General features: G+C 45.3%; 1 long non-coding RNA gene across 1 annotated transcript in view, besides 2 other annotated features; it reads right to left on the bottom strand.

Moving 5' to 3' along the window:
* Nucleotides 1-2234: 2234 nt before the first annotated feature.
* The window catches only part of LINC02365 (long intergenic non-protein coding RNA 2365), a 40780-nt gene continuing 18154 nt past the window's right edge, over nucleotides 2235-24860 (bottom strand). The window contains exon 2 of the long non-coding RNA NR_131967.1: nucleotides 2235-2744. This is a non-coding gene — a long non-coding RNA (long intergenic non-protein coding RNA 2365). The remainder of the gene's footprint in view (nucleotides 2745-24860) is intronic.
* Nucleotides 2625-2674: an enhancer, noted in NCBI's record as "active region_22231". NCBI's record gives its function as "activates an Ori minimal core promoter by ATAC-STARR-seq in GM12878 lymphoblastoid cells {active_cell/tissue: GM12878}" and the evidence as "EXISTENCE:reporter gene assay evidence [ECO:0000049][PMID:35858748]".
* Nucleotides 7397-7691: a silencer, noted in NCBI's record as "tiled region #13226; K562 Repressive DNase matched - State 9:DNaseU". NCBI's record gives its function as "represses a minimal TATA promoter and a strong SV40 promoter by Sharpr-MPRA in K562 cells {active_cell/tissue: K562}" and the evidence as "EXISTENCE:reporter gene assay evidence [ECO:0000049][PMID:27701403]".

Genomic DNA, 24860 nt, shown 5'->3' on the forward strand with positions numbered 1-24860 from the left:
GAAACCCCTGATAAACCCATCAGATCTCATGAGACTTATTCACTATCACGAGAATAGCACAGGAAAGACCGATCCCCATGATTCAATTACCTCACCCTGGGTCCCTCCCACAACACGTGGGAATTCTGGGAGACACAATTCAAGCTGATATTTGGGTGGGGACATAGCCAAACCATATCACCAAATATGGAGAGACTGCGGATCAACAAGATTGTCTCGAACTAATACAAGAGGTGAGAGTTTAAATTAGAACAACCACTTTGGAAAACAATTTGGATTATCTTATAAAGTTGAGCATTCTCATATGTTATGTCACAGTAATTCATGTACCATAAGCCCTGGAGAAACTCTTGCCCATGTGTGCCAGAAGTAGTAAAAAAAGAAAAGAAATGCTCATGTAATGCCATTCATAATAGCAAAATTCTGGATATAAGCCAAATGTTCATTAATAGGAGAATGGGTAAATTAATAGGAGAATGAGTAAATAAATTATACACTTAAAAAACTGAATAATATATTTTCTCGGGCAATCATATATACGCAATAAAACAATTTTTTTTTTTTAAGGAAGGGAATCCTAAACATAAATTCAGGGTAGTAGTTCCCCCTGGGGCTGAAGGGTGTGAATCAGGAAAAAGGACAGAAGAGGAGCAGATGTTAGGATCAGATCCTAGTTCTTGGGTTGTGTGGTGGGTTCACAAGTGATTACATTTTATTCAAATACATTCAAATACATTTACATAGAGGCTTAGGCACAGACAGGATGAAATAGAAGCCAAGGTAAGCTATGAGCCAAGGATTATGATTAATCCAGTTTTTGCACTTTAAGTCATTTGAAAAACAGAAAAGCAAAACAACAAAATAATTTTATTTATTTTTTTTTTTTTTAATTTTTGAGACAGAGTCTCGCTGTCGGCCAGGCTGGAGTGCAGTGGCACAATCTCGGCCCACTGCAACCTCCGCCTCTCAGGCTCAAGTGATTCTCCTGCCTCAGCCTCCTGAGTAGCTGGGACTACAGGTGTGCACCACCACGCCTGGCTAATTTTTTATATTTTTAGTCGAGATAAGGTTTCACCATGTTAGCCAGGATGGTCTCGATCTCCTGACCTCATGATCTGCCCACCTCAGCCTCCCAAAGTGCTGGGATTACAGGCATGAGCCACCGTGCCGGCCCAAAATAATTTTTAAGAAATTGAATATAGGGTGCTATGGTCTGAATGTGTCCTTCTACAATTCATCACCAATGTCATAGTATTAGGAAGTAGGGCTGTTAGGAAGTGATTCAGTCATGAAGGGAGAGTCTTCATGAGTGGATTTAGGGTCCTTACACAAGGGCTAGAGGGAGTGGGCTTCCCCTGTTTTGCCCTTCTGCCTTCTGCCATGTGAGGACACAGTGCATCCCCTCCTGAAGACACAGTGCTCAAGGCGCCATCTTGGATGCAGAGACCAGGCCGTCACCAGACACCACTCCTGCTGGCATCTTGATCTTGGACTTCCAGCCTATGGAACTGTGGGAAATACATTTCTGTTCTTTAGAAATTACCCAGTCTAGTGTATTTCGCTATACAGTAGCACAAATGCACTAAGACATAGTGCTTCTTGTCATTTTCTTATTCTACAATTTTCTTTGTTGCCTCTTTAGCAGTGTGTCATTTTAAATTTGATTCTTCATAATATCTCTTACTTTTGGTTTCTCACATTTCTGTTCCAAGTGTATTCTTAGATATTGTTCACTGTTTGTTAGTAACCAGGTCAGAAAGTCCAGAATACATTCTTCTAAGGGTTCAATTTCTGCAACAACATAAGTAGCAATGCCTCCTGTAAACTAGGTATTTCCTTGCCAATTGTAACTGCCATCTGGAAGCAAAGTGGCATTACAGTCTACCAGTGTGGGGTTGATTTTTAATGTATCTGGGGTATGGTTAAATGCTGGTTTCTAATCACACAGATTCATCGATGGCTAGGCACACTAGGGCATCAGTTGCTAGCTATCTCTGTATTTTTCCATGCTGTTAGAGAGGGAAAGTACAGACTGTGAAGCTGGACCAGCTGTCACACCCACAGCATTTGGGGAGCTTTTTTTTTTTTTTTAACCTTTAGTTGCTCAACTGTCACACGTAGCAGCTCAGGTGAAAGGCATGTGTATTGTGGGGACTTTCCCTTAGTGCTCTGTGGCGCAGAAGAGCAGACCTATGTAGAAGCATTTAAGTATTTTGTACATCAACAGGACAATTAAATGAACAAGTTTTTATTGTACCTTTTAGTTCCTGAAGACAAAACCACAGTGACAGTAACTAGGTCAAGGCATTGTACTCAAAGCGGGTCAGCCTTGGTCTTTGAGAGTGAGTCCCCTTCACCCCACTGTCAAGACTCATTGACCGGACGGGAAAGTTCAGGTGGAACATGCAGTGAGCAGCAAACACGGTGTCACGTGCTGCCATGCCTGCCATGGTCAGCAGACCTGTCTTCTCATTGGCAACAGGCAGATAAACAGATTTTTATCAACCAATAAACGTCTTCTTGGAGAGTTTCTTGATTCTTCCCAGCTGTGGCAGGATGGACTGACTTAGAGGAGCTCAGCAAGATTGCTGAACCACACAGAAACACAGGTTGAATTGTACTCCTCAGCAGGCCTAGGTTAGAGCAGCAGGTCTATCATTGGTCCTTGAAGCCTTGGCCACTCCTGGGACATAGCATAATGCCCCTAGTGACTTGAAATTTGGTGGAGAGTGGGTTGCTAATCCCTGTGTCCAGGGACAAAAAGAGACATAAAGAGCAAAAAGTTATAAAATAAGTGGGAGTAACATCTGCTTATCGTGGGAGGTAGGGATTTAAGATATAAGAATTCAGCTGCATGTGGTAGCTCACACCTGTAACTTCAGCACTTGGGGAGGACAAGGCAGGAGGATCGCTTGAGCCCAGGAGTTTGATATGAGCCAGGCAACATAGTGAGTCCCCATCCGTACAAAAATGTTTTTAAAGAAAAGTAATTGAGTGTGCTGGCACATGCCTGTAGTCCCAGCTACTTGGGAGGCTGAGGCAAGAGGATCACTTGAGCCTGGGAGATTGAGGCTGCAATGAGCTGTGATCACACCACTACACTCCAGCCTGGGTGACAAAAAAAAAAAAAAAACAAGTCAGACTTGACACCAGGTACTAAGCCATCTTAGCAGTGAGGTTTTTTTTGCTTTTGTTTTTTTGAGACAGAGTCTTACTAAGCCATCTTAGCAGTGAGTTTTTGTTTTGTTTTGTTTTGAGACAGAGTCTCGCTCTGTCACCCAGGCTGGAGTGCAGTGGTGCAATCACAGCTCACTGCAACCTCCACCTCCTGGGTTCAAGCAATTCTTCTGCCTCAGCTTCCTGAGTAGCTGGGATTACAGGCACCCGCCACCACGCCTGGCTAATTTTTGTATTTTTAGTAGAGATGGGGTTTCACCATATTGGCCAGGCTGGTCTTGAACTCCTGACCTTGTGATCTGCCCGCCTCAGCCTCCCAAAGTGCTGGGATACAGGCGTGAGCCACTGTACCCAGCCAGCAGTGAGGTTTAAACAATGTTTTCCACTGATGGACCCCAGTGTGAAACCATGTCACTTCATGAGTATGCAAATAACTTGGTAGATCTTCTCTCACTTGTGAATGATATGTCACATCTCATATATATTTTAATCCAGGGGTCTCCAACCCCCAGGCCACAAACTGATACTGGTCCATGGCCTATTAGGAACTGGGCTGCACAGCTGCACAGCTGGAGGTGAGTGGTTGGCAAGGGAGCAAAGCTTCTTCTGTATTTATAGCTGCTCTCCATCGCTCACATCATTACCTGAGCTCCACCTCCTGTCAGATCAACAGCAGCATTAGATTCTCATAGGAACTCGAGCCCTATTGTGAACTGTGCATGGCAGGGATGTAGGTTGCACACTCCTTATGAGAATCTAATGCCTGATGATCTGAAGTGGAACAGTTTCATCCCAAATCCATCCCCCACCCCTCCACCCCCTGTGGAAAACTTGTCTTTCACAAAACCGGTCCCTGGTGTCAAAAAGCTTGGGGACCACTGTTATAATCCATAATATGCCATTATGATCCAACACAATACCATTTAGCTCCTGTATATTCTGCCAAAATATCTAGAAGACCCAAAGTCCTACAAATGAATATTTCATGCAATGCAGGGAGAGTGTTAATCTTTTTTTTTTTTTTTTTTTTTTGAGATGGAGTCTGGCTCTGTTGTCCAGGCTGGGGTCCAGTGGTGCGATCTTGGCTCACTGCAACCTCCATCTCCTGGGTTCAAGCAATTCTCCTGCCTCAGCCTCCTGAGTAGCTGGGATTACAGGTGCGCACCACCACGCCCAGCTAATTTTTTGTATCTTTAGCAGAGATGGGGTTTCACCATGTTGGTCAGGCTGGTCTCCAACTCCTGACCTCGTGATCCGCCCACCTCAGCCTCCCACAGTGCTGGAATTGCAAGTGTGAGCCACTGCGCCTGGCCGAGAGTGCTAACCTTTAAAGCTGTAAATTTCATATTCATGAGAGCTATGGGCAGGGTTCATCTGAAGACATATCGTGGCAAGTTTATTTCTCAAAATGCCATTTGGATATTTTCCTGGATGATGTGGATAGTGGAAGCATTGTTGATGCTATAGGGCTTTAAAAACCCTGTTCACGGCCAGGCACGGTGGCTCACGTCTGTAATCCCAGCACTTTGGGAGGCTGAGGCTGGTGGATCACCTGAGGTCAGGAGTTCGTGACCAGCCTGGCCAGTGTGGTGAAAGCCCATCTCTACTAAAAATACAAAAACTAGCCGGGCATGGAGGCACACACTTGTAATCACAGCTACTCGGCAGGCTGAGGCAGGAGAATCACTTGAGGCAGGAGAATCACTTGAGACCGGGAGGCAGAGGTTGCAGTGAGCCAAGATCACGCCACTGCACTCCAGCCTGGGTGACAAGAGTGAAACTCAGACTCAAAAATAAATAAATAAATAAATAAATAAATAAATAAATAAATAACCCTGTTCACACTGTCCTACAAGGAGCACTCCCCCACACCATTTTTTTTTTTTTTTTTTTTTCTTCCTGACACAGGGTCTCTGGAGTCTCCAGCGATCCTCCAGGCCTACACCACCACGCCCAGCCTATTCACTTTTTTTTTTTTTTTTCTACCTTCTTTTCTTTTTCCTGGCCTATTCACTTTTAATGACAAGGTATTTCCAACCCAGAATAGTCTTTGACAGCATTAACTGACAGATATTTGTGTATGAGTTGCTTCTATTCATCCTGAAAAGATACAATTACTAAAGCATACATTTGTAAGAATAACATTTTTATTTGAGTAGGTTAAATCTGAATAACTAGAAATTTCCTTTAAGGAGAAGGATGAGCTGCCTTCTTTGTCTTTAAATTTTTCTCGCTCTGTGGATCTGAAAAATAGGGCAGCTGGCCCAGTCCTGTTGGGCCACACCAGAAAAACGATGGAGCTTCTTAATCACACGTAATTATTCTCAGAATCCCATCTTCGTTCATGTGTGCCAGGCCACAACTTAAATTAGTGAGAAGGGCAAGTAAACCCTTTGGCATTGCCAAATGACCATCTAAGTAGTGCCAAACAGAATTTGGATACTAAGTTAGCCTGACAGTTTACTAAGTATTTCCCATCCCCCCCCCGAACTTGGGGTTGTCAGAGAAGACTGGTTATTTTTTTCTTTAAATCTAGGGTCCAATCTGAGAATGTGGAATAGCAAAGACTTGGATTGGAGAGCTAGCAATATAGTCGTTACAGAAGGAGTCTTATAAGGACAATTTGGATATATTAGCTCCCCCAGAAGAAGGCACCGTTACTATTTTATTATTGTCATTAGCCATGAATTACCTCAAAGCATAGCCAGTGTAATTGAAAAATGTTAATTTTTCTTAGAAAAAACAGTACCCACTTCAGGGAGAACAAGCTCTGTTGCTTGGGGGTGTCTTTGCTGACAGGGCAGAAGTGGAGCCAAGGGTTTTTTTGTTTTTGTTTTTTGTTTTTTTTGTGGTGTTTGGCTGGAGTAGCGTGGTTATTGTCTAAAAGTTTTCCATCTTGCCAGGCTGCCTGTTTCCTGGTCCTTAGCTAGACATAGCAGGCTTTCTTTGGCTTTTTTCTTTTTTTAATCCATGCCCATTGGTGTTTCTGGGTTGCCAGCTTCTCCAGTGTCCAACCCAAGATACGTGAGACAAAAAGAAAACTCAGTGGCTCACTCACTGCCGTGTCATGCCCTGGGTTCCCAGGTCCCTACATAGCCTTCCTTGCTGCATCCACTTTCAGAGTCTTCTGATATTTGTCTTATAAACAATGTCTAGGCTTTCTAGCTACACTCAGCAGGAAGAATAGAAAAGCACATGCTCCATTTTGGTCCTTGTAGTATTTTTGTATCAATTAAATAGGAATTTCACTGGAGGTGAGAAACACGGCATCAGTTTCAGTTGTCTCTAGAGACACACAGAGTGATCTACGTCAGGGTTTTCTCCAGTGGAAACTCCGTATCTGGTTCATTTTTAAAAATCAACGTTATTGGGGTTTGATATTCATACAATAATGGATACTTTACATATAATAAAATGCACTCATTTAAGATTAGTTTCATGAGTCTTAACAAATGTATACACCTGTGTAGCTATTACCACCACCAAGATATAGGACACTTTCCTGACCCCTCCAATCTCCCTGTGCCTCGTTATAGCTGAGACACTCCTAATCCCTGCCCCAGGCAAGCATTCATCTGATTTCTCTTGCTTTGGCTTGGTTTTTGCCTTCATATAAATGAACTTCTAAATAAATGAAATAATAGAGTATGTACTCTTGGGTCTCTTTCATTCAGCAGCATAGTTCGGATATCCATCCACATTCTGTGTATTAGTAGTTCGTCCTTTTTGATTGGTGAATGCTATTCCATTGTATGACTATACCTCAATTCGTTTGTCCATTTTCCCCTGAGTGGACATTTGTGTTGTTTTCTTTTTGTGCTATTATGAATATGGTGCTTTAAACATTCATGTTCAAGTCTCGTAGATATATACTTTTATTTCTCTTGAATAGCTAGGAGTAGAATGGCTGGCTCATTCAGTAAGTGCATGTTTAACTTAACCACCAAACTGAATTCCCAAGTGGCTGCCCAATTTTGCATTCCCAACAACAGCGCATGAGAATTCTGATGCCTTCATATCCTTGGGGTCTGGCTCTGGTCCCAGCACCACTGAGAATCCCTCTGAAGCCAGCATGGTTCCAGTGCTCAGCTCAGCCAAAGGCACCACTTACTAAAATGAGTGCACAGTAACACCGTTTCACTCTTTCTATTCCCACGCACTGGAGACCTGGGCTAGGACGGGTTATGGGATCTACCCTGCACACGCCAAGAGCCGCTCTTCCCATCTGACTTTTAAAATCTCAGTTTCGAATCCCACAATTCTTTCTCAAGTCTAACCCTACTCAGTCATCACGGGGGCGTCTTCCCTAAGAGAAAACTCATGCTATCAAGTTTCACTAAAAAGCTTAGCCTAAAAGAGATGTAGACATCATTTGGAGGGGTGAGGGCAGTGAAGACAAGCAGAGCTATCTGATGTCAGCCATCTGCACAGAGAATAACAAGCAAGATAATTTTGTAGCCGTTTTAATTCAAATAGACCTTGAGAGGCTTTGTAAGCTACTTACCTTCAAAATGTGGCACGCCTCATGGACATTATTAATACAAATACAAAATTTATTTTTCTATTACAAATGAGAAAAAAGGGAGCTAGGTGCAGTGGCTCATACCTGTAATCCTAGCATTTTGGAAGGCTGAGGCAGAAGGATCGCTTGAGCATGGGAGATCAAGACCAGCCGGGGCAACATAGTGAGACCCCATCTCTACAAGTAATCTTTTTAAAAAATAGCTAGGCGGCTGGGTGCAGTGGCTCATGCCTGTGGTCCCAGCACTCTGGGAGGCCAAGGTGGGCAGATCACCTGAAGTCAGGAGTTCAAGACCAGCCTGGCCAACATGGTGAAACCCCGTCTCTACTAAAAATACAAAAATTAGCTGGGCGTGGTGGTGCGTGCCTGTAACCCCAGCTACTCAGGAAGCTGAGGCAGGAGAATTGCTTGAACCCAGGAGGCAGAAGTTGCAGTGAACTGAGATCATGCCACTACCCTCTAGCCTGGGCAACAGAGCAAGATTCCGTTTCAAAAAAAAAAAATAGCCAAGGGTGGTGGCATGCACCTGTAGTTCCAGCTATTCAGGAGGCTGAGGCAGGAAGATCGCCTGAGTCTGGGAGGTTGAGGCTGCAGTAAGCTGTGATTGCATCACTGGACCCCAGCCTGGGTGACAGAGGGACACCCTGTCTCAAAAAAAAAAAATAAAGATTTTATACTAAAGAAATTCTCAATTAATTCAACTTCAAGTAATTTGAAAACAATTCTCACCAATGTCTCTTCACAGCTGTAGTCATTCAGGAATTTTAATGTTACATGGAAAATGTCCCAGCCATCCACACTGGCTAGTCTGTTTCCCATTTTCTAGCTGCTGCCCAGTTGCTAGGAATCCTAATGAGTTGATACTTCTCTCCTCTGACAGCCAGGCCCAACCAGCCCACGGAAATCTCAGTCAAGGCAGCACTACAAGAGACCCAGAGCAGGGGCTGCATGAGCTTGGTCCGTTCTGGGCCTCAGTTTCCCCATATTTAGATGGAGGGGATTTCCAAAATTAGATCTCAGGCCCTGTGCCCCGTGTTCCTCTGGCTGCACACGACCACTTAAGATGTTCTGTCGGGAAAACGGAAGGGCAGGGGTCTGGGAGGGTGAGATGCTTTCTCGGGGCATAATGTTTCCCAGAAAGACGATATTCTTACAGCGTGTGACATCTATTATTTCTGCCGGGATTTTGTAGAAAATGTAAATCTGGCAAGAAGAAAATTCACCTGGTGAATTTCCAAGTGAATCAGGAGCCGATTCCCAGGCATCTTCCCAGCGTTCCTCACGCGTTGTTAAGGCGTGGCCCCCAGTCTTCTTGGACCTGGGCATGGCTAAGCAGGTCTGGGAGGTGGAATTTGGAGGTAGCCCCCAAATCCCTGCACCCTGGTGGGCATTCCTGGTGTGCTTGCATCCCCCTGCAAGTGGGCAGGACGTGTCAGTATGATGGGATCTCACTCCCAGGATTGGGGCAGAGGCTGTATGGCAGAAATGAAGAGGTTTTGCAGATGTAACTAAGGTCTCTAATCAATTTACTTTGAGTTAATTTTTTAAAAAGGAAACGATCCTAAGTGAGCTTGACCTGATCAGGTGAGCTTTTTAAAAGAGTCCAGGCCTTCCTGGAAGGAAGCAGGTGTTTGACGTGAGCAAGATCCTCCTGCTGAGCTTTGAGAAGCAAATTGCCTCATTTTGAACTGCCTGTGTGGGGCCAGGTGGCAAGGGTGAGGGTGACCTGCAGATGCTACGATGGGTCCTGTCCAACAGCCAGAAAAGAACAGAGGGACTTCAGTCCCACGCTACAAGGAAATGAATCCTGCCAATAACCTTTATGAACTTGGAAACAGTTTATTTTGGAGTCAAACCTCCAGATGAGAACACAGTCCCAAGGCCAGGCACAGTGGCTCACCCCTGTAGGGCACAGGTACATTGGCTCACCCCTGTAGGGCCAGGCACAGTGGCTCACCCCTGTAGAATATTTAAGTCTGGCAAGAAGAAAATTCATCTGGTGAATTTCCAAGTGAATCAAGAGCTGATTTCACAGGCGTTTGGGAGGCAGAGGTGAGAGGATTGCTTGAGGCCAGGAGTTCAAGACCAGCCTGGACAACATAGTGAGACTCCTTCTCTACAACACACACACACACAGAGCCCAGCCAGTACCTTGATTTTAGGTGGTGATGAGAGGTGACAGCGTGCTGGCAGTCCTCACAGCCCTCTCTCGCTCTCGGCACCTCCTCTGCCTGGGATCCCACTTGGATGGCACTTGAGGAGCCCTTCAGCCCACCGCTGCACTGTGGGAGCCCGTTTCTGGGCTGGCCAAGGCTGGAGCCGGCTCCCTCAGCTTGCGGGGAGGTGTGGAGGGAGAGGCGCGGGCGGGAACCCGGGCTGTGCGCAGTGCTTGCGGGCCAGCTGGAGTTCCAGGTGGGCGTGAACTCGGCCGACCCCACACTCGGAGCGGCCGGCCGGCCCCACCGGCCCCGGGCAGTGAGGGGCTTAGCACCTGGGCCAGCAGCTGCCGTGCTCAATTTCTCGCCGGGCCTTAGCTGCCTTCCCGCCGGGCAGGGCTCGGGACCCGCAGCCCGCCATGCCTGAGCCTCCCCCCGACTCCGTGGGCTCCTGTGCTGCCCGAGCCTCCCCGACGAGAGCCGCCCCCTGCTCCACAGCGCCCAGTCCCATCGACCACCCAAGGGCTGAGGAGTGCGGGAGCAGGGCACCGGGACTGGCAGGCAGCTCCACCTGCGGCCCTGGTGCGGGATCCACTGGGTGAAGCCAGCTGGGCTCCTGAGTCTGGTGGGGACGTGGAGAACCTTTATGTCTAGCTCAGGGATTGTAAATACACCAATCAGCACCCTGTGTCTAGCTCAGGGTTTGTGAATGCACCAATCGACACTCTGTATCTAGCTGCTCTGGTGGGGCCTTGGAGAACCTTTGTGTCCACACTCTGTATCTAACTAATCTGATGAGGACGTGGAGAACCTTTGTGTCTAGCTCAGGGATTGTAAACGCACCAATCAGCGCCCTATCAAAACAGACCACTGGGCTCTACCAATCAGCAGGATGTGGGTGGGGCCAGGTAAGAGAATAAACGCAGGCTGCCCGAGCCAGCAGTGGCAACTCGCTGGGGTCTCCTTCCCCACTGTGGAAGCTTTGTTCTTTCGCTTTTTGCAATAAATCTTGCTACTGCGCACTCTTTGGCTCCACACTGCTTTTATGAGCTGTAACACTCACCGCGAAGGTCTGCAGCTTCACTCCTGAGCCAGTGAGACCACGAACACATCCGAACATCAGAAGGAATGAACAACTCCAGACGCGCCACCCTGAGAGCTGTAACACTCACCGCGAGGGTCTGCGGCTTCATTCTTGAAGTCAGTGAGACCAAGAACCCACCAATTCTGGACACAGTGAGACTCTGAACAGAGGATCCAGCTAAACCAGGCCTGGGCTTCAGGCCCCAAAAGCTGTCAGAGGCTAAATTTGTTTTAAGTGTGTGGGGTAAATCATCACCCATCACTAGCAAATGAAACACAGCAAGGATTTTTCAGTGCGGGCGTTCCCCCAGCTCTCTGCAGCACCTGTTTGCACCTTAATCTCACAGCACTAGCACATAGGAGGGCAGGGAATCCAACCCTCATGAGCTCTAAGGATCTGATGGAAACCGTGGAGGATCCCGCGAGAAGTAAATGAGCCTTAAAGCAGGACAGAACTGATTGCCTGTTAAGTGCTAAACTGTGTGCTTCATACACATATTTAATCTTCACAACTGTTCTGCAAGGATGGAAATGAGGTTAGTCATGATAATCATTTTAGAAGAAAACTGAGGTTAACTAAAAGGCCCAAGGTCATGTAGCGAATGAGTGGAGGAAGTCAGGATTCACAGCCTGACCTTGCTGACTCCAAAGCCCATGAATTTTCCAGGTTTCAATGCTGCTTCCTATTTCTCTCCACTTTGTTTCGGAGTCCCAGGCCACACCATACTCTACCCCGGCATCCCCGTACCCAACTCTGCTGTGTGTCTGTGTAGTTTCTCCTTGCCTAGAGCTATGTTTGTGGCCAAAACTATCCTTGCTAGAACTCTGGCTCCTGTTCCTTTGCTGATACCCACGCCCAGCACCATGTGGTGATCCCAGCTCAGCTCCCTCAGCTGCAGCAGCTGTTGCTTCCTTACTTTCTGAATCCTGAGGTGACAGATAAGTAAGTAAAGAATGGAATTGAATAGAAAATCAAGAAGAAAAGTACAAAAATACGATGTTTTAAATTTATTGCCAAGAAATTCGGAGATTTAATTAACAAATCAGCATATGCATCAAAGAATAGGGACCTGCCAATTTTCAACCTATAGTTGACTCTCCAACCTATAGTTGACCCTTGAACAACACAGAGATTAGGGGCACTGACTCCCACACAGTCAAAAATCCACATATAACTTTTTTTTTTTTTTAGACGGAGTTTTGCTCTTGTTGCCTAGGCTGGAGTGCAATGCCACGATCTCGGCTCACTGCAACCTCTGTCTCCCAGTTTCAAGTGATTCTCCTGCCTCAGCCTCCCAAGTAGCTGGGATTACAGGCATGCGCCACCACACCCGGGTAATTTGGTATTTTTAGTAGAGACAGGGTTTCTCCAGGTTGGTCAGGCTGGTCTCGAACTCCCAACCTTCGGTGATCCGCCTGCCTCGGCCTCCCAAAGTGCATGGATTACAGGTGTGAGCCATCGTGCCCAGCCAAAATCCACATATAACTTTTTGACTCCCCAAACTTTAATAGCCTACTGTTGACTAGAAGCCTTACTGAGAACATAAACCATTGATTAACCCATATTTTTTGTTATACATATTATATGCTATATTCTTACAATAATGTAAGCTAGAGAAAAGAAACTATTAAGAAAATCATAAGAAAGAGAAAATATGTTTACTCTTCATTAAGTGGAAGTCGATCATCTGAAATGTCTTCATCCTTGTCATCTTCATATTGAGTAGGGTGAGGAGGAGAAGGAAGATGAGGGAATGGTCTTGCTGTCTCGGGGGTGGCAGAGGGAGAAGAAAATCCATGTATAAGTGGACCCGTGCAGTTCAAACCCATGTGGTTTAAGGTTGTTATTTAGTGCCATGGTTCGAGTATGTCCCAGCTGAAGCTCATATTGAAAGTTGATTCCCAAGGTGGTGGTGTTGGGAAGTGGGGAGGTGTTTGGGTTAGGGGGTAGATCCCTCATGAATAGATAACGCCCTCTCTTGGGAATAAGTGAGTTTTCACTCTTGCGGGACTGAATTTGTTTCTGAGAGGCAGATTGTTATAAAGTGAGCTCCACCTCTCATGCCTGTCTCTTTTCCCACTCCATGAGTTGAACGGCATGAGGCCCTCACTAGATGTGCTGCTCAGCCTTGGACTTCCTAGCCTCCAGAATTGTGAGCCAAATTCTTTTCTTTTTTTTGAGATGGAGTCTCGCTGTTGTTGCCCAAGCTGGAGTGCAATGGCGCAATCTCAGCTCACTGCAACCTCTGCTTCCTGGGTTCCAGCAATTCTCCTGTGTCAGCCTCCCGAGTAGCTGAGATTACAGGTGCCCACCACCATGCCTGGCTAATTTTTGTATTTTTAGTAGAGATGGGGTTTCACCATGTTGGCCAGGCTGGTCTTGAACTCCTGACCTCAGATGATCCACCTGCCTCAGCCTCCCAAAGTGCTGGGATTACAGGCATGAGCCACCATATCCGGCCAATTTCTTTTCTTTTTAAATTACCCAGTGTTAAGTATTCTGTTACAGCAACACAAAGCAAATTAAGACAATAGCTTTCCCACTCTGTCCTGGGACTAGGTTAACTTCCTTTTAATTCATTTATTTTTAAGTTCTAGTAAAATTTAGTAATAAAAACTTTACCTATTTATCATGCACACAATATGTTTTCAAACATATGGTTTTGAAATATATATACGTCATGGAATGGTTCGATTGAGCTAATTAACATATGTATTACTTCACATATGTAAAATTTTTTGTGGTAGGAACACTTAAAATATACTGTCATAGCAATTTTTAAGAACACAATACATTATTATTAACTATAGTTACGATATTGCACAATAAATCTCTTGAACTTACTCCTCTTTGGCTCTCCTTCAAGTTGGTTTATTTAAAAGGTGTATTGACATGTAGTTCTCTGGCCATCTTGAAGGCAGCCATTGGAAAACAGGGTCTCGGCTGGGCATGGTGGCTCACTCCTGTAATCCCAGCACTTTGGGAGGCCAAGGTGGGCGGATCACTTGAGGTCAGGAGTTTGAGACCAGTCTGGCCAACATGGTGAGACCCTGTCTCTACTAAAAATACAAAAAATTAGTGGGGTGTGGTGGCGTGCACCTATAACCCCAGCTCCTTGGGAGGCTGAGGTGGGAGAACTGCTTGAACCCGGGAGGCGGAGGTTGCAGTGAGCCGAGATAGCACCACTGCACTCCAGCCTGGGCAAAAGAGCGAGACCCTGTCTCAAAAGAAAAGGGGAGGGGAGGGAAGGGAAAAGACGAGGTCCCTGACATTGATTCAGATGCTTCGTAAGGACCAGAGATCATCTGCTCTTCTGCTCTTTTGTCCAGCTACTCTAAAGGAAGGGCCATTCTGGGGCCCAATCCTTTCTGACCTTCTATCTGCTTGGCTGATGCTCCCTACACGGGCTGCTCACAAGGCGGGAACTCTAAGGACTGGGTGTGAGTTGTACTCTCAGGCTGTTTTACAGGCGTCTGCTGTCTGCTAGACCCTAGCACACGCTTTGGCTTGTTTTTAATTTAGTGTCCTTTTGGGGAATCGTGTAGTGGGGGACTAGTGAAAAGAGGAAAGCAATGGGAACCAGAAACATCTGGATTCATGTTCCAGCTCCACCTCTTCCTGCTGGGTGACCTTAGGCATGCTCTTTAACCTCTGAGCATTCATTTCCTCAGTTATAAAATTGGGCTAATAATAGTTCATAAGAATCATGTGAGAATTAAGGGAGATGATGTTTATAAAGTGCTTTGCATGGAGAAGAGTAAGTACTATGATAAGCATGTGTAGCAAAACGATATTAGGAGATGTTAGCTGACATGCCCTCATCATCTGCATGCCCTCTTCCTTCTACTCTACTTCCTACTCCCACACTGCCAATTTGGCTTTTAGGCACGAGACCTTCTTGGCCCCCAGGAGAACTATCTCAGCAGAACTAGAGGACAAGGGCATTCAGTTATTGGGTTTCATGTTTAACAACCAGGTGTGACACAGAAAGATAACACAGACCCAATTCTACCCACCCCTGCCCAGCCTGCCTCGGTAAATATGCTCCAAGCAGGAGAGGGAGAGGACCTGGTGACAGGAGCACTGGAGTGAGTCACTGGTGTGGGCCTCAGAGCTGAGTCCACTCTGAATGGACTGAGCTTGACCTGACTGACAAGTTTTCCGCTAATAAGGCTCAGGTAACTTGACTTAAACAGAGAAAATTAAATTTCTGGGATGCTGGAGTTGGTGGATTGAGAAATGTATGCTTACCATGCAAGGAATGTATCACCCCCTGAAGAGCAGAGATAACCTATAAAGATCTTAGACGCTGCTTTTTGGGCCATTTGCTGCCAAGAATGGACAAGTTTGGTAATGCAGGAAACCGTGCTGCTTCCCTTCAGGAATAATGCTGGGGACTGGCTGGGAGCTCCTTGCCTTTGATAATCTTTTCAAAACTATCCCATCATATTATGAGACTGAGTCTACCTTGATAGGTGAAGGAAGAAAATATGAGTTGCCAAGTCCAAGGCAAGATGCTCCTCTCATTTGATCTGTGTAAGATAGGGGTAAATATCCCATTATACTTTGGAGAATAGTAGCAATAATAATAATAATAGCTTTCATTTATTAAGCACTTATAAGTCTACACTTTTTTTTTTTTTTTTTTTGAGACAGAGTTTCGCTCTTGTTGCCCAGGCTGGAGTATAGTGATGCGATCTTGGCTCACTGCAACTTCCGCCTACTGGGTTCAAGCGATTCTTCTGCCTTAGCCTCCCAAGTAGCTGGGATTACAGGTGCCCGCCACCATGCCTTGCTATTTTTTTGTATTTTTATTAGGGACAGGGTTTTACCATGTTGGCCAGGCTAGTCTCAAACTCCTGACCTCAGGCAATCTGCCCGCCTTGGCTTCCCAAAATGCTGGGATTACAGGCATGAGCCACTGCGCCCAGCCACTGTCTACACTTTTTTTTTTTTCTTGAGACGGAGTTTCACTCTTGTTGCCCAGGCTAGAGTGCAATGGTGTGATCTTGGCTCACTGCAAGCTCTGCCTCCCAGGTTCAAGCAATTTTCCTGCCTCAGCCTCCTGAGTAGCTGAGATTACAGGAGCCCACCACCGTGGCTGGCTCATTTTTGTATCTTTTTAGTAGAGACGGGGTTTCACCATGTTGGCCAGGCTGGTCTCGAACTCCTGACCTCAGGTAATCCACCTGCCTCGGCCTCCCAAAGTGCTGGGATTACAGGCGTGAGCCACCGCACCTGGCCCTGTCTACACTTTTTAATGAGTAAACAAATATCCATTCTTTCTTCCACTAATGACATAAATTTAAGGGGATAAAAACCTCTGATTGCCTTACTTTTTTACCCCTGATGGACTAGAATCCTGAAAATAGGTGGGCTGAACGGAACCTTTGAGTGAGTGTACACCCAGGCATGTGCAAACGCATGCACACGTGCACATACATAAGCATACACACGCCGAGTCAGCCCACTGCCCCTCCTGGCCCTGCCAGCCTTTGCCGGCACACCCCTCTGTGCAGCCCCATCAGCCCTCTCCTTCCTCACAGGACATGGTTCTTACACTTGGGTTCAAGGAGGTCTACAGCAAACTCATGGTCAAATGGCAGCTTAGTCTCTTTATATACACAATCCTATTTCAAAGCAATCTAAGAAATAGAAAGCATTGCTTTCTCTCTCATCTGTGATATTTGCCTCTTTCTGGAACGTATCATTGCCCAAGAAATTATCTAGCATAAGTTAGCACTGATAAATTGCTAACTTTAGCTAGAGAAAAAGCTCATTTTGAAGACTTCAGGTGTGATTTTTTGAAAAAATTATTCATATTGACTATTTGGAAACTAAAGCTGTGTCCTTGCTGAAACTTTAGACAAATGCTGCTTGTTGACAAACAAGGATGTGCTTGAGCTGAAGGTGATGTGACTGACACATTTATCAGGGAGGCAGTGGCACTGGAACACTGCAGAGGACAGTGGCGGCTGCCTCAGGCTTTTCCTTGCAGGTTGTATCTTTGGTTACTTTTCCTGGAATAGTTCTAATACTGACCTTTTAGTTACAACTAGAAAATAACATTGCATTAACCTCCTCTCCGTCAACAGCTGAGCTGGAGAGAGCTGAGCGGCTCGGTGTCCAAGCGGTGGATTAAAACAGCACACCAAGACGAAAGTGAGGCTTTCATCACCTCCTGCAGTGACATAAGCAAGAGGCAAGTGGCAAGAGTGTTGCCTCCTCCACATTTTATTTTTCCCCCCAGAAGAGCACCAGGAGCAGGTCAGATGGATCAATAGGGGTCATCTCACCACTGAGGGAACCCCAGCAAAAGGCTCTTGCAGGTTTGTTGGGGAGGAAGAGAAGGGTGAGGGCTGGAGGTGTTAAAATACTGAATGCTGAGTCAGGGTGATGAAAAATGTCTTCATGGCCCCCAGCAGCGTGGTCTCAGGAGAGACCCCAAGAGAGACCTCAGCTCACGGTCTGCAGATAAGGACGTCTCTGGGTGGTGTGTCTGAGCTAGGAATGCAGATATGTGCAGCGTCACGGCTGGCCAGGGGCACCCAGACTGTGGGCCAAGTCTGGGGTGAGGAGGGCAGCTCTCCCCGCCCAGGCCTACCAGGAAATGCCTTTGGAATTGCCTAGGGTTGGGCCTGAAAGATCACATATAAGATTTTGGCTTCCTGGCCTTTTGGCCAGATGCCTTACTCCTCAGCTTGACTCTCTTGGTTTGTAGAACCCAAGACGTAACTGGATGTGGAAACAGACTTATGACACCGTACAAAGGGATCCACAGTGTCTTACTATCATTCTGAAACCATCTTTGCAAAAATTATAACTGAGAAAATTATGACAGTGAAAGAGATCTGACCTAACCGACTCCATCTTGCCTCTGACCTCCAGGCTGCCCTTGTTCATCCCTGGGCATAGGCCGAACTGACTTTGAGAGGAGTTTAGTTTATGGTTTGATGATAACATGGTAACAGCCCTTTCCCAAAATAAACCCCCCTCTTGGGGACTAAACTGTCTTTACAGGACTAATACATTAGCCACGAGATTAGAAATGATGGTTTAGGAGTCATTGTTGAAAAACCCGAGGTCAGTGCTTAAGATATTTTGCAGACTCTGCATTCCAGTGCACCAGCTGGTATGGGCTCATCAGGTCTTGTGGCCACCTTCCAGGAACTGACTCAACTCAAGAGGACAGCTTGGACTCCCTGTTATTTCATTTGCAAGCCAACCGATCAGCACTCCCCAATTTCTGATTCCCTACCCACCAAATTATCCTTAAAAACTCTGATCTCCAAATTTTTGGGGAGACTGATTTGAGTAATAATAAAACTCTGGTCTCCCCTAGAGCTAGCACTGGGTGAATTAAACTCTTTCTCAATTGCAATTCCCCTGTCTTGATAAATCAGCTCTGTCTAGGCAGTGGACAAAAAGAACTAGTTGGGTGGTTACAATTCTGTATCCTAGACACACATTTACTCATCTGTTGATTTTTTCCACAGATACTTCCTACAATAGAAGTGTTTTCCAAAATAAGTGTTTCCCATATGATCTTCATTTCTTTTACAAATATGATATTTTTCCTTAAAAAACAGGCTGGGAGTTCTCTCAAGATGGCCGAATAGGAACAGCACCAGTCTGCAGCTCCCAGCGAGATCAACGCAGAAGGTGGGTGATTTCTGCATGTCCAACTGAGGTACCCGGCTCATCTCATTGGGACTGGTTAGACAGTGGGTACAGCCCACGGAGGGTGAGCCAAAACAGGGTGGGGCGTTGCCTCACCCCAGAAGCGCAAAGGGTCGGGGAACTCCCTCCTGTAGCCAAGGGAAGCTGTGAGGGACTGTGCCGTGAGGGACAGTGCACTCTGTCCCAGATACTACGCTTTTCCCATGGTCTTTACAACCTGTGGACCAGGAGAATCCCTCTGGTGCCTATGCCACCAGGGCCCTGCGTTTCAAGCACAAAACTGGGCAGCCGTTTGGGCAGACACCGAGTTTTTTTTCTTACCCCAGGGGTGCCTGGAGTGCCAGCGAGACAGAGCCGTTCCCTCCCCTGGAAAGGGGGCTGAAGCCAGGGAGCCAAGTGGTCTAGCTCAGTGGGTTCCACCCCCATGGAGCCCAGCAAGCTAAGATCCACTGGCTTGAAATTCTCGCTGCCAGCACAGCAGTCTGAAGTTGACTTGGGACGTTTGAGCTTGGTGGGGAGAGGGGCATCCACCATTACTGAGGCTTGAGTAGGTGGTTTTCCCCTCACAGTGTAAACAGAGCTCGGAAAGTTCAAACTGGGAGGAGCACACCGCAGCTTGGCAAAGCCGCTATAGCCAGACTGCCTCTCTAGATTCTTCCTCTCTGGGCAGGGCATCTCTGAAAAAAAGGCAGCAGCCCCAGTCAGGGGCTTATAGATAAAACCCCATCTCCCCGGAACAGAGCACCTGGGGGAAGTGGTGGTTGTGGGCGCAGCTTCAGGAGACTTGAACGTCCCTGCCTGACAGCCCTGAAGAGAGCAGCGGATCTCCCAGCACAGCGTTCAAGCTCCACTAAGGAACAGACTGCCTTCTCAAGTAGGTCCCTGATCCCTGTGTCTCCTGACTGGGAGGCATCCCCCAGAAGGGGTCAACAACCACCTCATACAAGAGAGCTCCGGCTGGCATCTGGCGGGCACCCCTCTGGGACAAAGCTTCCAGAGGAAGGAACAGGCAGCAATCTTTGCTGTTCTGCAGCCTCCACTAGTGATAGCCAGGCAAATAGGGTATGGAGTGGACCTCCAGCAAACTCCAGCAGACCTGCAGCAGAGGGGCCTGACTGTTAGAAGGAAAAACTAACAAACAAAAAGGAAAAGCATCAACATCAACAAAAAGGACATCCATTCAGAAACCCCACCTGAAGGTCACCAATATAAAAGACCAAAGGTAGATAAATCTACGAAGATGGGGAGAAACCAGCACAAAAAAGCTGAAAATTCCAAAAACCAGAACGTCGCTTTTCCTCCAAAGGATCACAACTCCTCACAAGCAAGGGAAAAAACTGGACAGGGAAGGAGTTTGACAAATTGATAGAAGTAGGCTTCAGAAAGTGGGTAATAACAAACTCCTCTGAGCTAAAGGAGCATGTTCTAACCCAATGCAAGGAAGCTAAGAACTTTGAAAAAAGGTTAGAGGAATTGCTAACTAGAATAACCAGTTTAGAGAAGAACATAAATGACCTGATGGAGCTGAAAAACACAGCATGAGAACTTCATGAAGCATACACAAGTATCAATAGCCTAATCGGTCAAGCAGAAGAAAGGATATCAGAGATTGAAGATCAACTTAATGACATAAAGAGTGAAGACAAGATTAAAGGAAAAGAACGAAAAGGAATGAACAAAGCCTCCAAGAAATACGGGACTATGTGAAAAGACCAAACCTACATTTGATTGTGTACCTGAAAGTGACAGAGAGAATGGAACCAAGCTGGAAAACATTCTTCAGGATATTACCCAGGAGAACTTCCCCAACCTAGCAAGATACGCCAACATTGGAATTCAGGAAATACAGAGAACACCACAAAGATTCTCCTTGAGAAAGGCAACCCCAAGACATACAATCGTCAGATTCACTGTGGATGAAATGAAGAAAAAAAAGTTGAGGGCAGCCAAAGAGAAAGGTTGGGTTACCCACAAAGGGAAGCCCCTCAGACTAACAGCGGATTTCCTTGCAGAAACCCTACAAGCCAGAAAGTTTAACATTTTTAAAGAAAAGAATTTTCAACCCAGAGTTTCATATCCAGCCAAGCTAAGCTTCATAAGTGAAGGAGAAATAAAATCCTTTACAGACAAGCAAATGCTGAGAGATTTTGTCACCACCAGGCCTGCCTTACAAGAGCTCCTGAAGGAAGCACTAAACATAGAAAGGAAAAATTGGTACCAGTGACTGCAAAAACATACCAAATTTTAAAGACCATTGACACTATGAAGAAACTGCATCAACTAACAGGCAAAATAGCCAGCTAGCATCATAATGACAGGATCAGCTTCACACGTAACAATATTAACCTTGAATATAAGTGGGCTAAATGCCCCAATTAAAGGACACAGACTGGCATATTGGATAAAGAGTCAAGATCCGTCAGTGTGCTGTATTCAGGAGACCCATCTCATGTGCAAAGACACACATAGGCTCAAAATAAAGGGATGGAGGAATATTTACCAAGCAAATGGAAAGCAAAAAAGAGCAGGGGTTGCAATCCTAGTCTCTGATAAAACAGACTTTAAATCAACAAAGATCAAAAGAGACAAAGAAGGGCATTTCATAATGGTAAAGGGATCAATGCAACAAGAAGAGCTAACTATCCTAAATATATATGCACCCAATACAGGAGCACCCAGATTCATAAAGCAAATTCTTAGAGACCTATAAAGAGACTTAGACTCCCACACAATAATAGTGGGAGACTTTAAGACCCCACTGTCAATATTAGACAGATCAATGAGTCAGAAAATTAACAAGGCTATCCAGGACTTGAACTCAGCTCTGGACCAAGCAGACCTAATAGACATCTGCAGAACTCTCCACCTCAAATCAACAGAATATACATTTTTCTCACCGCCACATCACACTTATTCTAAAATTGACCACATAATTGGAAGTAAAACACTCCCCAGCAAATGCAAAAGAACAGAAATTATGGCTGGGTGTGGTGACTCACGCCTGTAATCCCAGCTCTTTGGGAGGCTGAGGCGGGTGGATCACGAGGTCAGGAGATCGAGACCATCCTGGCTAATAACGGTGAAACCTCATCTCTACTAAAAATATAAAAAATTAGCCAGGCAAGGTGGTGGGCGCCTGTAGTCCCAGCTACTCGGGAGGCTGAGGCAAGAGAATGGCATGAACCCAGGAGGCGGAGCTTGCAGTGAGCCAAGATTGTGCCACTGCACTCCAGCCTGGGCAACAGAGCGAGACTCTGTCTCAAAAAAACAAACAAACAAAAAAAAGAACGGAAATTATAACAAACAGTCTCTCACACCACAGTGCAATCAAATTAGAACTCAGGATTAAGAAACTCACTCAAAACCACACTACATAGAAACTGAACAACCTGCTCCTGAATGACTACTGGGTAAATAACAAAATTAAGGCAGAAATAAATAAGTTCTTTGAAACCAATGAGAACAAAGACACAACATACCAGAATCTCTGGGACACAGCTAAAGCAGTGTTTAGAGGGAAATATATAGCACTAAATGCCCACAAGAGAAAGCAGAAAAGATCTGAAATCGACACCCTAACATCACAATTAAAAGAACTAGAGAAACGGCTGGGCGTGGTGACTCACACCTGTAATCCCAGCACTTCAGGAGGCTGAGGCAGGTGCATCACCTGAGGTCAGGAGTTCCAGACCAACCTCACCAACATGGTGAAACCCTGTCTCTACTAAATACAAAAAATTAGCCAGGTGTGGTGCCACATGCCTGTAATCCCAGCTACTTGGGAGGTTGAGGTGGGAGAATTGCTTGAACCCAGGAGGCAGAGGTTGCAGTGAGCCGAGATTGAGCCATTGCACTCCAGCCTGGGCAACAAGAGCAAAACTGCATCTCAAAAAGAAAAAAAAAAGAACTAGAGAAACAAGAGCAAATAAATTCAAGAGCTAGCAGAAGACAAGAAATAACTAAGATCAGAGCTGAACTGAAGAAGATAGATGTTGGGAACAGGCCCCCCCAAAATCTGGCCACAAGCTGGTCCCCAAACTGGCCATAAACAAAATCTCTGCAGCACTGTGACATGTTCATGATGGCCGTAACACCCGTGCTGGAAGGTTGTGGGTTTACCGGAATGAGGGCAAGGAACACCTGGCCCGTCCAGGGCGGAAAACTGCTTAAAGGCATTTTTAAGCCACAAACAATAGCATGAGCGATCTGTGCCTTAAGGACCTGCTCCTGCTGCAGTTAACTAGCCCAACCTATTCCTTTATTTAGGCCCATCCCTTTGTTTCCCATAAGGGATACTTTTAGTTAATTGAATATCTATAGAAACAATGCTAATGACTGGCTTGCTGTTAATAAATACATGGGTAAATCTCTGTTCAGGGCTCTCAGCTCCGAAGGCTGTGAGACCCCTGATTTCCCACTTCACACCTCTATATTTCTGTGTGTGTGTCTTTAATTCCTCTAGCGCCACTGGGTTAGGGTCTCCCCGATCGAGCTAGTCTCGGCAGATAGAGACACAAAAAACCCTTCAAAAAGTCAATGAATTCAGGAGCTGGTTTTTCGAAAAGATCAACAAAGTAGTTAGATCGCTAGCCAGACTAATAAAGAAAAGAGAGAAGAATCAAATAGACACAATAAAAAATGATAAAGGGGATATCACCAGTGATCCCACAGAAATACAAACTACTATCAGAGAATACTATAAACACCTCTATACAAATAAACTAGAAAATCTAGAAGAAATGGATACATTCCCAGACACATACACCCTCCCAAGTCTAAATCAGGAAGAAGTTGAATCCCTGAATAGACCAATAACAAGTTCTGAAATTGAGGCAATAATTAATAGCCTACCAACCAAAAAAAGTCCAGGACCAGACAGATTCACAGCCAAATTCTACCAGAGGTACAAAGAGGAGCTGGTACCATTCCTTCTGAAACTATTCCAAACACTAGAAAAATAGGGACTTCTCCCTAACTCACTTTATGAGGCCAGCATCATCCTGATACCAAAGCCTGGCAGAGACACAACAAAAAAAGAAAATTTCAGGCCAATATCCCTGATGAATATTGATGCAAAAATTCTCAATAAAATACTGGCAAACTGAATCCAGCAGCACATCAAAAAGCTTATCCACCATGATCAAGTCAGCTTCATCCCTGGGATGCAAGGCTGGTTTAACATACGCAAATCAATAAATGTAATCCATCACATAAACAGAACCAAGGACAAAAACAATATGACTATCTTAATAGATGCAGAAAAGGCTTTTGACAAAATTCAACATGCCTTCATGCTAAAAACTCCGAATAAACTAGGTATTGATGGAATGTATCTCAAATTATAAGAGCTATTTATGACAAACCCACAGCCAATATCATACTGAATGGGCAAAAACTGGAAGCATTCCCTTTGAAAACTGGCACAAGACAAGGATGCCTTCTCTCACAACTCCTATTAAACATAGTATTGGAAGTTCTGGCCAGGACTATCAGCAAGAGAAAGAAATAAAGGGTATTCAAATAGGAAGAGAGAAAGTCAAATTGTCTCTGTTTTCAGATGACATGATTGTGTATTTAGAAAACCCCTTTGTCTCAGCCCAAAATCTCCTTAAGCTGATAAGCAACTTCAGCAAAGTCTCAGGATACAAAATCAATAAGCAAAAATCACAAGCATTCCTATACAGCAATAATAGACAAGTAGAGCCAAATCATGAATGAACTCCCATTCACAATTACTACAAAGAGAATACAATATCTAAGAATACAACTTACAAGGGATGTGAAGGACCTCTTCAAGGAGAACTTCAAACCACTGCTCAAGGAAATGGGAAAAGGACACAAACAATGGGAAAAACATTCCATGTTCATGGATAGGAAAGATTAATATCGTGAAAATGGCCATACTACCCAAGGTAATTTATAGATTCAATGCTATCCCCATCAAGCTACCATTGACTTTCTTCACATAATTGGAAAAAACTACTTTAAATTTCTTGTGGAACCAAAAAAGAGCCTGCACAGCCAAGACAATCATGAGCCAAAAGAACAAAACTGGATGCATCATGATACCTGACTTCAAACTATACTACAAGGCTACAGTAACCAAAACAGCATGGTACTGGTATCAAAACAGATATATAGACCAATGGAACAGAACAGAGATCTCAGAAATAACGCCACACATCTACAGCCATCTGATCTTTGACAAATCTGACAAAAACAAGCAATGGGGAAAGGATTC

The sequence above is a fragment of the Homo sapiens genome, chromosome 4, assembly GCF_000001405.40.
Source record: "Homo sapiens chromosome 4, GRCh38.p14 Primary Assembly".
NCBI lineage: Eukaryota > Metazoa > Chordata > Mammalia > Primates > Hominidae > Homo > Homo sapiens.